Source organism: Homo sapiens, chromosome X (genome assembly GCF_000001405.40).
Source record: "Homo sapiens chromosome X, GRCh38.p14 Primary Assembly".
Taxonomy (NCBI): Eukaryota; Metazoa; Chordata; class Mammalia; order Primates; family Hominidae; genus Homo; species Homo sapiens.
Window position 1 is genome coordinate 27,613,583 of NC_000023.11, and position 13,911 is coordinate 27,627,493.

Here is a 13,911-nt window from a genome sequence, read left to right on the forward strand (position 1 = left end):
TGGGTTTGTCATAAATAGCTCTTATTATTTTGAGATATGGCCCATCAATACCTAGTTTATTGAGAGTTTTTAGCATGAAGGGCTGTTGAATTTTCTCAAAGGCCTTTTCTCCATCTATTGAGATAATCATGTGGTTTTTGTCTTTGGTTCTGTTTATGTGATGGATTACATTTATTGATTTGCATATGTTGAACCAGCCTTGCATCCCAGGGACGAAGCCAACTTGATCTTGGTGGATAAGCTTTTTGATGTGTTGCTGGATTCGGTTTGCCAGTATTTTATTGAGGATGTTTGCATCGATGTTCATCACGGATATTGGGCTAAAATTCTCTTTTTTTGTTGTGTCTCTGCCAGGCTTTGGTATCAGGATGATGCTGGCCTCATTAAATGAGTTAGGGAGAATTACCTCTTTTTCTATTGTTTGGAAAAGTTTCAGAAGGAATGGTACCAGTTCCTCTTTCTACCTCTGGTAGAATTCGGCTGTGAATCCATCTGGTCCTGGACTTTTTTTGGTTGGTAGATTCTTAATTATTGCCTCAATTTCAGAGCCTGTTATTGGTCTATTCAGGGATTCAACTTCTTCCTGGTTTAGTCTTGGGAGGGTGTATGTGTCCAGGAATTTATCCATTTCTTCTAGATTTTCTAGTTTATTTGCATAGAGGTGTTTATAGTATTTTCTGATGGTAGTTTGTATTTCTGTGGTATCGGTGGTGATATCCCCTTTATCATTTTTTATTGTGTCTATTTGATTTTTCTCTCTTTTCTTCTTTATTAGTCTTACTAGCGGTCTATCAATTTTGTTGATCTTTTCAAAATACCAGCTTCTGGATTCATTGATTTTTTGAAGGGTTTTTTGTGTCTCTATCTCCTTCAGTTCTGCTCTGATCTTAGTTATTTCTAGCCTTTTGCTAGCTTTTGAATGTGTTTGCTCTTGCTTCTCTAGTTCTTTTAATTGTGATGTTAGGGTGTTGATTTTAGATCTTTCCTGCTTTCTCTTTTGGGCATTTAGTGCTATAAATTTCCCTCTACACACTGCTTTAAATGTGTCCCAGAGATTCTGATATGTTGTGTCTTTGTTCTCATTGGTTTCAGAGAACATCTTTATTTCTGCCTTCATTTCGTTATGTACCCAGTAGTCATTCAGGAGCAGGTTGTTCAGTTTCCATGTAGTTGAGCGGTTTTGAGTGAGTTTCTTAATCCTGAGTTCTAATTTGATTGCACTGTGGTCTGAGAGACAGTTTGTTGTGATTTCCATTCTTTTACATTTGCTAAGGAGTGCTTTATTTCCAACTATGTGGTCAATTTTGGAATAAGTTCAGATTCTATAGGAAACGTTCCATACCCCGAGACACTGCTTTAGCCCATATACACAATGATACAAAAGGCTGCTAGCTTTGAGTTAGTCCCAGAGCAAAGAAGTGCTCTGTAGCAAGTCTAAGTTATAATGTAAGCATCTCTGCATTTTTGGGTCATGTTGTTTGCTAGATCCAATGATGCTAGAGGTTTCAGTGGTGGGGAAAGATGTGTGAGAGAAAAGGAAGACGTGCCCCTTGCCCAAAGGGAATTGTAGTGCTGTTACTCTAAAAAGGAATTAATGAATGCTGGACATGAGAGGCCAAACAGATATCCAACTCATCCCTATTGTAGTCATTGCAGTTTTTTTGAAAAAGACTTCTGATTCTTGTTTGCCTTAGAACTAAAAAGTCACACTTCTTTTGAATGAACACGTTTAAAGTTTAGAACACATTTGAACATAATGAATCAATGTAATTTTATAAACATTTATAATTATAATCAATAAATTTTAAAACATGAAATACTAAAGAAGAAATGACTATATTCTTGAATACCTTCAAATTTTTGCTTTGTCAGAAGCCATAAATATTTTTGAATTTTTTTGCATTATGATTAAACGCACAAAAAATAATAGTAGATTCTATCAATCTATCTATCTATCTATCTATCTATCTAATCTATCTATCTATATTTTCTGACTTGAAAAAGTGACCTGGAAATAGATTCACTGTTCACCAAGACTTTGCAATTCAAGAAGTCTGCATTATATGCTAACTCTTCAGCATAATTCTAATAAAAATAAAACTTTGTTCATTATCAATTTTAAGCTTTTTCTAATTAACTCTGAACAGAATCAGTGAAACATAGATCAGAGGAGAATATTAAAATACTAAGTTCCTAATCACTTAAATCCTCAATATTCAAAGATCTACAATGTCATTAAAACCTCTTAAAGTTTATGAACTTCAGAAATAAATAATAAAATAAATGGCACTAGAAACCTTTCTTTTTCCTTCATATTTCACATGTATGGCAGTGTTTTTTAATATTTTTATTTAAAAAATAGAGAAGATAATAAGATAGATAGATGGAAGATATATTAGATTTATGGAGTAAAGAATAGCAATATAACTAAGACATTTAAATTTTTTTCAGCCAGAATATTTTGTGAAACTAAACTGAATACCTTGTCAATACTCTTTTTTCCCCTCTTAGGGACATAAATGGTTGAATCCTTGCTTTATATCATATTCTTCAAATAAAAAAATAGATATGAAATTTCTAGATTATTTTGTGGCTAAAGATACTATTGCTGTTATTTCTAGTATCATTGTATTATGGTATTCTCTCAGTTTGTTTTTTTATGCTCTCCTCAGGTGTTGTGATACAGTGCTCTTTTTGGCCTTTCCAATAGTGAATAATCCTCTCTTAGAAAGTACATTAAGTTTTTTGACTTCCAAAATATCGACCATCAGTCATAATGTTATTATAATAAAAAAATCAATTACCTGAAAATTGGAAATATAAGTCTCATAGTCTCTATGAGAATTGGAATAATTAATTCTGATAGCAAAAATGGTAGTAGCAGATTTTAAAAAATTATTACTCCAGTTATATTCAAAAAAGAGCAATTCAATTGAAATTAATTTAAGCTGATAGGGGAATTTATTTATATATACAAAAGAATGTGGACTTGGGTTCAGTCGTAACTAAACATAAAGCTTAAACAATGTCATTAGTTTTTCTTTCTCCCTCCAACTCTTGCCACTACTTATCGTATTACGTTGATTCTCTCTTAAGGCGGAAGGAATTGCTGCCCTAGACCCATAGTCTACAGATTAACATCCCCATCAGAGAGAGGCTCTTTGTCCATGATATCTCTGGGGGTAATTGTCCTAGGGAAAACGGATTGAACACAGGATCTTGCAGCAATCACTGGCTCAATTCTTGTTGCCCAGAAAGTAGAGGAAGAAAATATTGGGGGCAAGATTAGCCGTATCAAAACCATACAAAATGGATTTTCCCAAGAGGGAAAATACATTCTCTTTGTGGAAAAAGTTATACATTGCATTTTGAATACACCATTCTATTTGTAAGCCATGGAACTACCCTACTGAGGTTTCAAGCTAGACTGATTAAATACATAAAAAGCAACAAATCTGGAGGGTTCTTGGGTTAATATCACTCCCTCCTTTAATAGATTAGAAGAATGGTCCAAGTAGTCTGATTTAACTCATCAAAATAACAAGCTGCTACCAGTTATGGGGCTTCATGAACTCCTCATTTCTAAGAAGCCCATTTCCCTGACGAAGGAGTTCCTCTGTTACTTAGTTACATAGATTTGCCCTGACCTTCATTATAAATATATAGATATTTAGAGGTTTGGGAGGAAGATTCCTCCTATCTAGTACATTGTGTTGTGTGCAGAGCTGTGCTCAGCTTTCACTGTGGGATAGGTAGAGCTGAGGGAAATGTATGTGCTCTATCACTTCTCTGCTTGTAAGTTTTCTCCCAATAGATCCTGTTTTAAATCTATACCACTTGGTGTTCTGCCTAACATGTCTTAAACATTATCCTTCATGGAGTCTTAAAAGCTATGAAATGAATCATATGATTCAAGGATTTTTACATAGTAATCAACCTGGTTCCCTAATTTGCTTATTTAGGATCACAACATATTTAAGAAAATGAAAACATGTTGAAAAAGAATCTTCCATTATCTTACCTCTTTAATTATTATTATCCCTTTTTATAAGTTTCTGTTTTTTATTACAAATGATCCACTGATATTTACATATTCCCAAAATATCCAGTTGTCAGCTACCTAGTGATTAGTCAGTGCATCTGTTAACTGCTCACTTATTAGATATTTTTTATTTAGGGAATTTTTAAAAAATCACTGCCTTTTATGATTTAGACAATAAATAAAGTGATTGCCACCCTTTATGGGACAGAGGAACTAGATAATTATGTCTAGAGATGTTTATTGAAAGTATAATGTTACTTCAATAATGTGGAATATAAATGGGCACTATTTCAAAAGTAAAACAATTTTTAGTGTGCAACTTCTGTTATTATGGTTCTAACATATGGAAGCATTCTATGTTATCATATCATATGGCTTTGAAACTTCTTAGAGGATGCTTAGGTATATTTTTTTATTCCATGACTGGTTGTAGAGAGTTATAAAGCTGCTAGAAAAACACAGGAGCTTAGAGAAAACTCAATAAAATATGCAAAATGAATTTGCAAAATAAAATTACAGAATTAACTTCAAAATGACATACACATAGAAAACATTTGAACAATATACAGTAGGATGAAAAACATTCATTTCCCATTTGTCACAGTGGAATCATAATCTAGATTTTTAAGAGAATGCACAAGAAAGCAGGCAGTTAGAAATAATTAGACAACATAACACAGGAAGAAATGCTGCATGGGGGTAACACACGGGTAAAAAGATAGTCTATTACAGTGGAAAAGAAAAAAATGGGGATTGGACTCAGCTTACTAGCTTGGGATTATAAATAGATTACTTATCCTCTTCAAAACACAATTTTCTTTTTGGCAAAATGAAAATGAGAAAACGTTCATAGACTTTTTAGGTGCATTAGACACAAGTAGCTATGGCACCTTTGTTCAGATTAGACATAGACGCTTCTCCAGGTATGCACATCCCCATTGTCATTCATCTTGGAGTGCAGATGGAGCCTTTGTACTAATTACAAAAGATGTTCCTTACTCCAGGCAGATGTAGCTCTGCCCCGTGAAGCAAAAAACATTTAGAAGAGCTTGAAATTGATTTGAACCCCCATGCGCCCTCTTGGCTGGTTGTGTATGTGAAGTGATCAACTTGAATACGTGTTCAAAACTCAGTCCTCCTATTTATTGTAAGTTCTGTTAATACTAGTGGAAAAGTGAGAGGCAAATTAATAATGATTGGATTTTAAGCTTTATTGATCATAGACCAAAAGTAGTAAAGCTTTGGGAAAAGGTTTAGTTTTTTTTTAAATAACAAAGACTATGCAAAATGTATGGCCTTTATGTTTCAATTTTTTTATAATTAAGCCGATCTCTTCTGGATTAAGATATAGCTTCAGGATATTATCTATATCTATATCTAATCTATCTATCTATCTATCTATCTATCTATCTATCTATCTATCTTATATCTATCTATCTATTTACTTACCTACCTATCCATCTACCTATATTCCACAAAAATTTTATTTGGAAAACTAGCTCTATGAGATATGAAACAATTTTAGGTGTGGTTTTGGTAATAAGTCAAGAAAGTATGACAATGTTTTGATGAATATAGCATAAGATTTATTTATTCCAGGTTATCTTAGAGATTTTAATACAATAGCTACTGTAAATCTCCAAACAGGGATAAGCCTTTCAGCTTTTCCACAAAATAATTTACCAATAGAAACCGTTTCTCTATAAGTGAGGCCTCATCCAGAAAAGCACAGAAATAGATCAGACAAATAATAGATAGATAGATAGGAGAGAGAGAAAGAGAGAGAGAGAGAGACAGACAGACAGAGACAGAGAGATTTGTTACAGGGATCTGGGTTTCCCAATTGTGGGAACTGGGTAAACAGTCTTTTAAAGGTTCTCCCTCCACATCTGATGCTGGAGCATAAGCAGACCTGACACTCCAGCACAAGTTGGCACAGAAGTCAGGAAAAGTAAAGGGAAATTCAAAGAAGCTAGTGTAATTCAGGTCTAGACGCTGCTTCATGCTAATGAGATCTGTCAGCTGATCACTACATGTTATCTACAAAATGGCAGCTGCTTCCTTTCCACCTTCCAATAAAAATGTTTGAGGAAATAATTCACTAGTAGCCTATTCAAATTCCTGAAAAACCAACTATCTTAACTATGACTCAAAGTCCAGGTGCAGTAAAAGAAAGGATAACTTCTACTGCTTAAAATTTTAAAAACTGCATGATAAAAAAAAGAAAAAGAAATATAGGTAAAGTAAAAAAAAGACTAAAATATTTGCAATACATGCTACAATTAAAGGATTAATGTCTTAATAAATAATCTAAAAGATGAAGTTTAACAACCTAAATAAATAAACTTATGGAAAAATTGGCAAAAAGACATGAAAAATTTCGAATTTTAAAACAATTTTAAAGTTACAAAAATTATTAAACTTATTAAAAGATGCTAAATTTCACTTATAATGAGGAGAATGTAAATTCAAGCTAATTGACAAAATTTCTCATATATACATTGACAAAAATTTGAGAGCTCAATATCACCCTCTGTTGGCAAGACTGTAGAGAACAGACACTCTCATATCTTGCTAATGGGACTACAGAATAGTACAATAGTGTAATTATGTTGAAAAATTTGACAAAATCTAAAAAATGCCTTTGAACTTTGATTCGGTAGTACCACTTTCAAAAATATAGCCAGAGGATACACTCCAAAAATATAATATCAAAAGGACAGGTAACAAAAGAATAAATAGACAAATTAAACTTTGTGGAAATTTAAAAATTTAGTATATCAACAAACAACATCAACAGAGTAAAAAGGCACCCCAAAGAATGGGAGAAAATATTTTCAAACCATATATCTGATGAAAGATAATGTGAAGAAAATGTGCAAAGGGATGAACAAATATTTCTCCAAAGAAAATATACAAATGGCCGGAAGCATACAAAACAATGCTCAACATCACAAATCATTAGGAAAATGCAAATTAAAACTACAATGATGTAATACTTCATACTCATCAGGGTAGCTACTATAAAACAACAACAAGAAGAAATATCAAGTATTGGCAAGGCTGTGGAGAAATTGTAACACTTGTACATTTTTGGTGATAATGTAAAATGGTATAATTGCTGTGGAAAACTGGTGTTCCTTCAAAAGTCAAAAATAAAATTGATGTATGGTCCAGCAATTCCATTTCTAGATATGTACCCCAAATAATTAAAAACAGGGCTTCAAAGAGCTATTTATGTACTCATGCTCATAGCAGCATTATTAACAGCAGCTAAAATATGGAAGCATATAAAGTGTCTGTGGATAAATGAATAGATAAGCAATATGTGATATATACATACAATAGTATATTCAACCTTACAACGGAAGGAAATTTTGTCGTATGCTACAACATGGATGAATCTTGAAGACATAATACTAAGTGGAAGAAACCAGTCACAAAAATACTTATACTGTACCATTCTACTTATATGAGATATTTAAAGTAATCACAGTCATAGAGACAAAAAGTAGAATGGTGGTTGCCAGAGGCTGGGGAGAGGGGAGAATGGGGAGATATTTTTTAATGTGTGGAGAGTAGAATGCTATAGAGTTTCACTTTTACAAGATGAAAAGAGTTGTGGAGATCGATGGTGATGATGGTTGCACAATGTTATTAAGGTATTTAAGATTACTTAGCTCTGTGCTTAAAATGGTTACTTTGTCTATACCAATAAATTGGAGAAGGAAAATAATTTTTTGTTAAGATAACAAATTTTATATTATGTGTATTTTAACATAACAAAAATAGGAAAAAATAATAAGCAAGCAAAATCCTGATAACCTAATAGAAAACAGGAAAAAAAATTGAACCAACACTTTAAACTCCTCCTGCCCACCCACCACAGTAAAGGAAAAAAGTGGCCTATAGCCATATATAAAATAGGCTCAAATCATTAGTAATCAACAAAATGCAGATTAAAATTATAGTAAGATGTCACTAAAATTTAAGAAACGCAAACGTACACCCCCACACCCATACAGCGTGTATAAGATACCAGGTGTAGGCTAGGATGTGTGCAATAGGAGTTCTATTAAGATGCTGGGGCAGGCACTGTGGCTCACATCTGTAATCCCAACACTTTGGGAGGCTGAGGCAGGAGGATAGCTTCCATCCAGAAGTTCGAGACAAGCCTGGGCAACACAGTGAGATCCTGTTTCTACAAAAAATAAACAAAATTAGCCAGATGCGGTGTCAGATGCCTGTAGTCCCAGCTACTCAGGAGGCTGAGGTGGGAGGATTGCTGAGACTGAGAGGTCAAGGCTGCAGTGAGCTGAGGTTGCACCATGCAATCCAGCCTGGGTGATAGAGTAAGACCTTATCTCAACAACAACAACAACAAAAAAAAAAGATGTTAGTAAGAATATATGTTTAAAGTATTTTGAAATAAAATTTGGTATTATCTACCAAATTTGAAGACGTACATCACCTGTTACTCAGAAATTCTACTTTTACATCTCTATTCAACAGAGTGTAGGCATTTGTGCACCAAGCAGTATGTATAAGAACATCATTTGGGAGGCCGAGACGGGCGGATCACGAGGTCAGGAGATCGAGACCATCCTGGCTAACACGGTGAAACCCCGTCTCTACTAAAAATACAAAAAAATTAGCCGGGCGTAGTGGCGGACACCTGTATTCCTAGCTACTAGGGAGGCTGAGGCAGGAGAATGGCGTGAACCCAGGAGGCGGAGCTTGCAGTGAGCCGAGATCGCGCCACTGCACTCCAGCCTGGGCGACTGAGCGAGACTCCATCTACAAAAAAAAAGATAAAAAATAAAAATATATAAAAAGAACATCATTAGCATCATTACATGTAATATCTCAAATTGGCAATAATCTCAAACTCATTTAAAAGTAAAATTGATAAATAAATTGTAGAAAGTCAAACAATGAAATGCTAGGAAACATTAACATAAGTGAATTAGTGCTACGTTCATATTTCCCACTAACATAATGCTGACTAGAGCAACCTAGATACTTCTGGATTATTCCATTCAGGTAACATTTAAAAATCAGGTACACTTAAATAACGTTTAATGATATGTACTGAGGAAATAAAATCACAAAGAAAAGAAGGAAATAACTACCATACAATTCTGGTTATCTTTGGCAGAGAGAAATAGTGATTTTGACAGGGTGTATGGGAGTTATTTGGGTTGATGACTTTATTTCTTAAGCTTGAGGGTCATCAAGCAGAAGTTCACTGTATGAGAAAGGGCTGTACTGTATATTTCTACTTTGTGCATTTCCCCCATGTATATTGTAGTCCACCATAAAATTTAATTAAAATGCAAAGTAGTTGGTTAAAACATAATTCTGTAATACTTGGAATTGCTCCAATTATAAGGAAACACTTTTGCTTAGAACAAGGAAGTTATAAATGTATTTGCTGGTGACAAGAGATAGACTTCAATGACTGGTGGCTGTAAACTGAGCTCACTGCTGGAAACTTTTTGATCATAATACAGTCTACATTTCACACCACTTACTTTTGGGCTACCAGAAAGGGCTGGTTTGGTCACAGTAAGAAGAGAGAGTTTAATAGAACTGAGGATAGAGTTCTCTCACTGCCCTTCAGGGGAAAAAAAACTGAAAAATCCTAGAATATATAGTTTATTGTAAAAGATTGCTTGTTGTTAGGAAACATGATCCATACTGGAGAGGAAATATGAATGCAGAGAAGATGGAAAAGGCTGTATTAATTTACTGTAAACCTAAAAAGTCATACTGGAAATACTGCATAAATGGAAAAAAAACTGGAATGCTTTTAGTAAATATACCTGTTTTATTTTTAATATATATTACAAATCAAAGTCCTAAAAGAGAAGTTTTTGAGGGTTTTTCAATGAAAAACATTTATAACAACAAGGTTTTAAATATAAATGAAAAGGGTAAAAAAAATTTGGGAAAGTTTTGTGTTACAACTTTCTACTTACTGCCTACAAAAAAAAATCAATACTGGCAAAGAAAACCAAATAAATTTATATTTAAAAGAAAAAAGATTGCATAGCAGCCCGAGTATGATTTATTTCATGATTAATTAGACACCATTTTTTAAAACAGCAAGATACACCTCACACAACCTCCAAGAAAATAGCAATGCAGATTTAAACACGTGTGAATGGAAAGAATTAGATTTCCTTTCACACCAATTTTGTTTGAGGTCTGCCAATTAGATAAAGGTCCAAGTACTAAAGCTACAACATTGAAATTGCTTCCTAAAATGAAGGAAGAAAATACTTTCACAAACTTCTTAATGTTCATCAAGTACCTCCTACTAGGTAGTTTCTATGTGCATTTACTTATGTTATCTCATTTAATATGCATGATCAACCAATGGAATTGGAATTATTTTCTAAGATTTACAGGTGAAGATATTGAAGCTCAGAGTACATGTATTTTCTCTAGTTACATACTAAGGAATTAGAATTGTCAGAGTTTAGACATAGTTCTTCTGACTCTAAGACCAATTATTATTGTGCCTACCTGCAACTTTTAGATACCATACTAATATCAGGGATTATCAGTCACAGTAGAGTCAGGAAAAGATAACTCATGTCAAGTACTTCAACAAAGGGAGTTTCATATGGGAAGGTAGTACCAAATTGTTAGAAGACCTCACAGAATAACAGGGTGAGGGGAGATAGCCCAGAGGTTATCAAATGCAAGAAGTTGCTTCCATTACTAGGGCTGGAGAGTCAATAGAAGGAACATTCCATGCTCATGGATAGGAAGGATGAATGTTTTAAAATGGCCATACCGCCCAAAGCAATTTACCGAGTAAATGCTATTGCTATCACTACTAAGAACATTCCTCTCAGAATTAGAAAAAAAAAACTATTCTAAAACTCATATGGAATCAAAAAAGAGCCTTAATAGCAGTCCTAAGAAAAATGAAGAAAACCAGAGGCATCACATTACCCAACTTCAAACTATACTACAAGGGTGCAATAACCAAAACAACATGCTACTGGTACAAAAACAGACACACAGACCAGTAGAATAGAATAGAGAACCCAGAAATAAATCTGGACACCTACAACCATCTGATCTTTGACAAACTTGACAAAAACAAGCAACGGGGAAAGAGTTCCCTACTCAGTAAATGGTGTTGGGATAACTGGCTAGTTATATGCAGAAAATTGAAATTGATCCCTTCCTTGCACCACATACAAAAAACTCAAGATGGATTAAAGGCTTAAATGTAAAACCTAAAATTAAAAAACCCTGGAATATAACCTAGGAAATACCATTCTGGATATAGGCCCTGGCAAAGATTTCTGATAAAGATGCCAAAAGCAATTGTGACAAAAAGAAAAATTGGCAAATGGAATCTAATTAAACTAAAGGGCTTCTGCACAGTAAAAGAAACTATCAACAGAGCAGACAACCTACAGAATGAGAGAAAAAATTTGCAAACTATGCGTCAAACAAAGGTCTAATATCCAGAATCTCTAAAGAATTTAAACAAACTAACAAGCCAAAAACAGAAAACCCCATTAAAAAGTGGGCAAATGACATGAACAGATAGTTTTCAAAAGAAGGCATTCAGGTGGCCAACAAGCATATGAAAAAGTGCTCAACATCATTAATCATTAGAGAAATGCAAATCAAAACCACAGTGAGATACCATCTCACACCAGTCAGAATGGCTATTACTAAAAAGTCAAAAAATAACAGATGCTGGTGAGGTTATAGAGAAAATGGAACACTTATTCCATTATTCACACCACTGCTGGTGGGAATGTAAATAAATTCAGCCGCTGTGGAAAGCAGTTTGGGAATTTATCAAAGAACTTAAAACAGAACTACCATTTGACCCAGCTATCTGATTATTGAGTATGTACCCAAAGGAATATAAATTGTTCTATCATAAAGACACACACACATGTTAGTTCATTGCAGCACTGTTTACAATAGCAAAAACACAGAATCAACCTAAATGCCCATTAACAGTAGACTGGATAAAGAAAATGTGGTACGTATACACCGTGGAATACTATGCAGCCATAAAAAGAATGAGATCATGTTTTTTGCAGCAACGTGGGTGCAGCTGGAGGCTATTATCCTAAGTAAACCAACCCAGGAACAGAAAACCAAATACCACATGTTCGTACTTTCAAGTGGGAGCCAAGCACTGAGTACACATGAACACAAAAAAAGGAACAATAGACATCTGAGCCTATTTGTGAGTGGAGGGTGGGAGGAGGGTGAGGACCAAAAAACTGCCTATCAGGTGCTATGCTTATTACCAGGGTGGCAAAATAATCTGTATGCCAAACACCTGTGATACACAATTTGCCTATGTAACAATCGTGTGCATATACCCCTGAACCTAAAATAAAAGTTAAAAAAAAATAACTTGAAAAATAAATAAGTAAATAAATAAAAGAGAAGTAGCTGATGTTACCAGAGCCCAAGATCTGAGTTCCCTTCACAGGAGCTGAAAACTTAAAAGAAGGGCTTTTTGAGGGAGCAGCAGGAGTAGCTACCAAGGGGAATTTGGAGACATGAAGAAGTGCTCATCTGACGGGAGCTAGAATCATAGAAGGAGCTGCAAGACGGGAGCTGGGACCTCAGAGGAAGGCGCTGCCTTGTGGGCTCTGCAACCACAGAATTGCTATACACACTGACAGAGATACCTCCAGAAGCCAAGAAGAAGGCTTACCCTGGCTTCTCACCTCCAATCTCTAGCCAGTGCTTCCCTGTTAGGTGAGCCCAAAAGAAGCAATTTGAGAGGAATCTGGGAATGTAGTTTGCAGGAGTCATCCTTCTGTGATCTGTAGTTTAGGGCATAGCACGTGAAAGGAAGAGGAGGTGGATCTCAGAGTAAAGAGGAAAATGATCAAACCACAAAGCTAGTTTTCTAGGCCACATCAAATTATCCCAGCCCCAAAAGATGATGTTGAGTAAAAATTACCTAAAGTATCTAAACAGACTCATGTTAAAATAATTAATTTGATATGTAATATTTTTATTTGTTTCTTATGAAGATAAGTCACCATGTAACATGAATAAATACATACTTGTTTCAGTTATCAAGAAGTCTAAGTAACACTGCACACAAAGGATGAGAAAGCAAGCTGAAATATAGGAGGCAAAGAAAGATTCCTGCTATCATATAGGATTGATTTAAAGGCAAAAAGTAGATAAATGTGAATAAGAGTCTAAAATTAAGTCTATATCTTAGTCTTGGCCATTAAAGCTTATAAGGGACATAAATTTGAATGTTAATTCCAATTGTTAGTTTTGCTAATGTCTGATTAGAGCTTTCAGAAATCAATTCTTTTGTTACATGAAGTAGCAGCTTATAATTAGGGGAGGGGGAATTCACATTTGAAACAAAAGAATTGATTTCTAATTCTAGGTGGTGGAAAAAAATAGCACCAAGAAATGTTAAGACCAAAAAAAAAAAAAAAAAAGCTGTGAAAGACAAATGCAAAAGAAATGGGAAAAATGCAGGCTGGTATTTCATTAGAATACATAAGTAGTACGAAGCTTGTGTTTTCTCTCTTATTATTTTTCTACAATTATCCAAGCCTATAAAATCTAGAAAGAGGAATATTAGGCACATCCGGCAAATGTTTAATATATTATGTTCATTAAAAGTACCTAGCCAGTGCTATCCAATAGAATTTTCTGGCATGGTGAAATATTCCTTTTTTTTTTCTTTTTAAAACAGCTTTACTGAAGTATAATTGATATGCAAATGATGGCACATATATAATGTGTAAAATTTGATGAGTTTGGACATATGCAAACACCCATGATCCCATCACCACACTCAAGGTAATAGACATATTCAACACCTCCCAAAGTTTTGT

The 13,911-nt window shown here is 34.4% G+C and overlaps 1 protein-coding gene across 9 annotated transcripts in view; it reads left to right on the forward strand.

Moving 5' to 3' along the window:
* The window catches only part of DCAF8L2 (DDB1 and CUL4 associated factor 8 like 2), a 281,002-nt gene that overhangs the window by 144,642 nt on the left and 122,449 nt on the right, over positions 1-13,911 (forward strand). The window contains exon 2 of one of the 9 annotated variants that reach the window (XM_024452371.2): positions 13,770-13,876. The exons of the other annotated variants lie outside the window; for them this stretch is intronic. The gene's annotated coding sequence lies outside the window, so the exon portion shown is untranslated. The remainder of the gene's footprint in view (positions 1-13,769; positions 13,877-13,911) is intronic. 9 annotated transcript variants of the gene reach the window in all.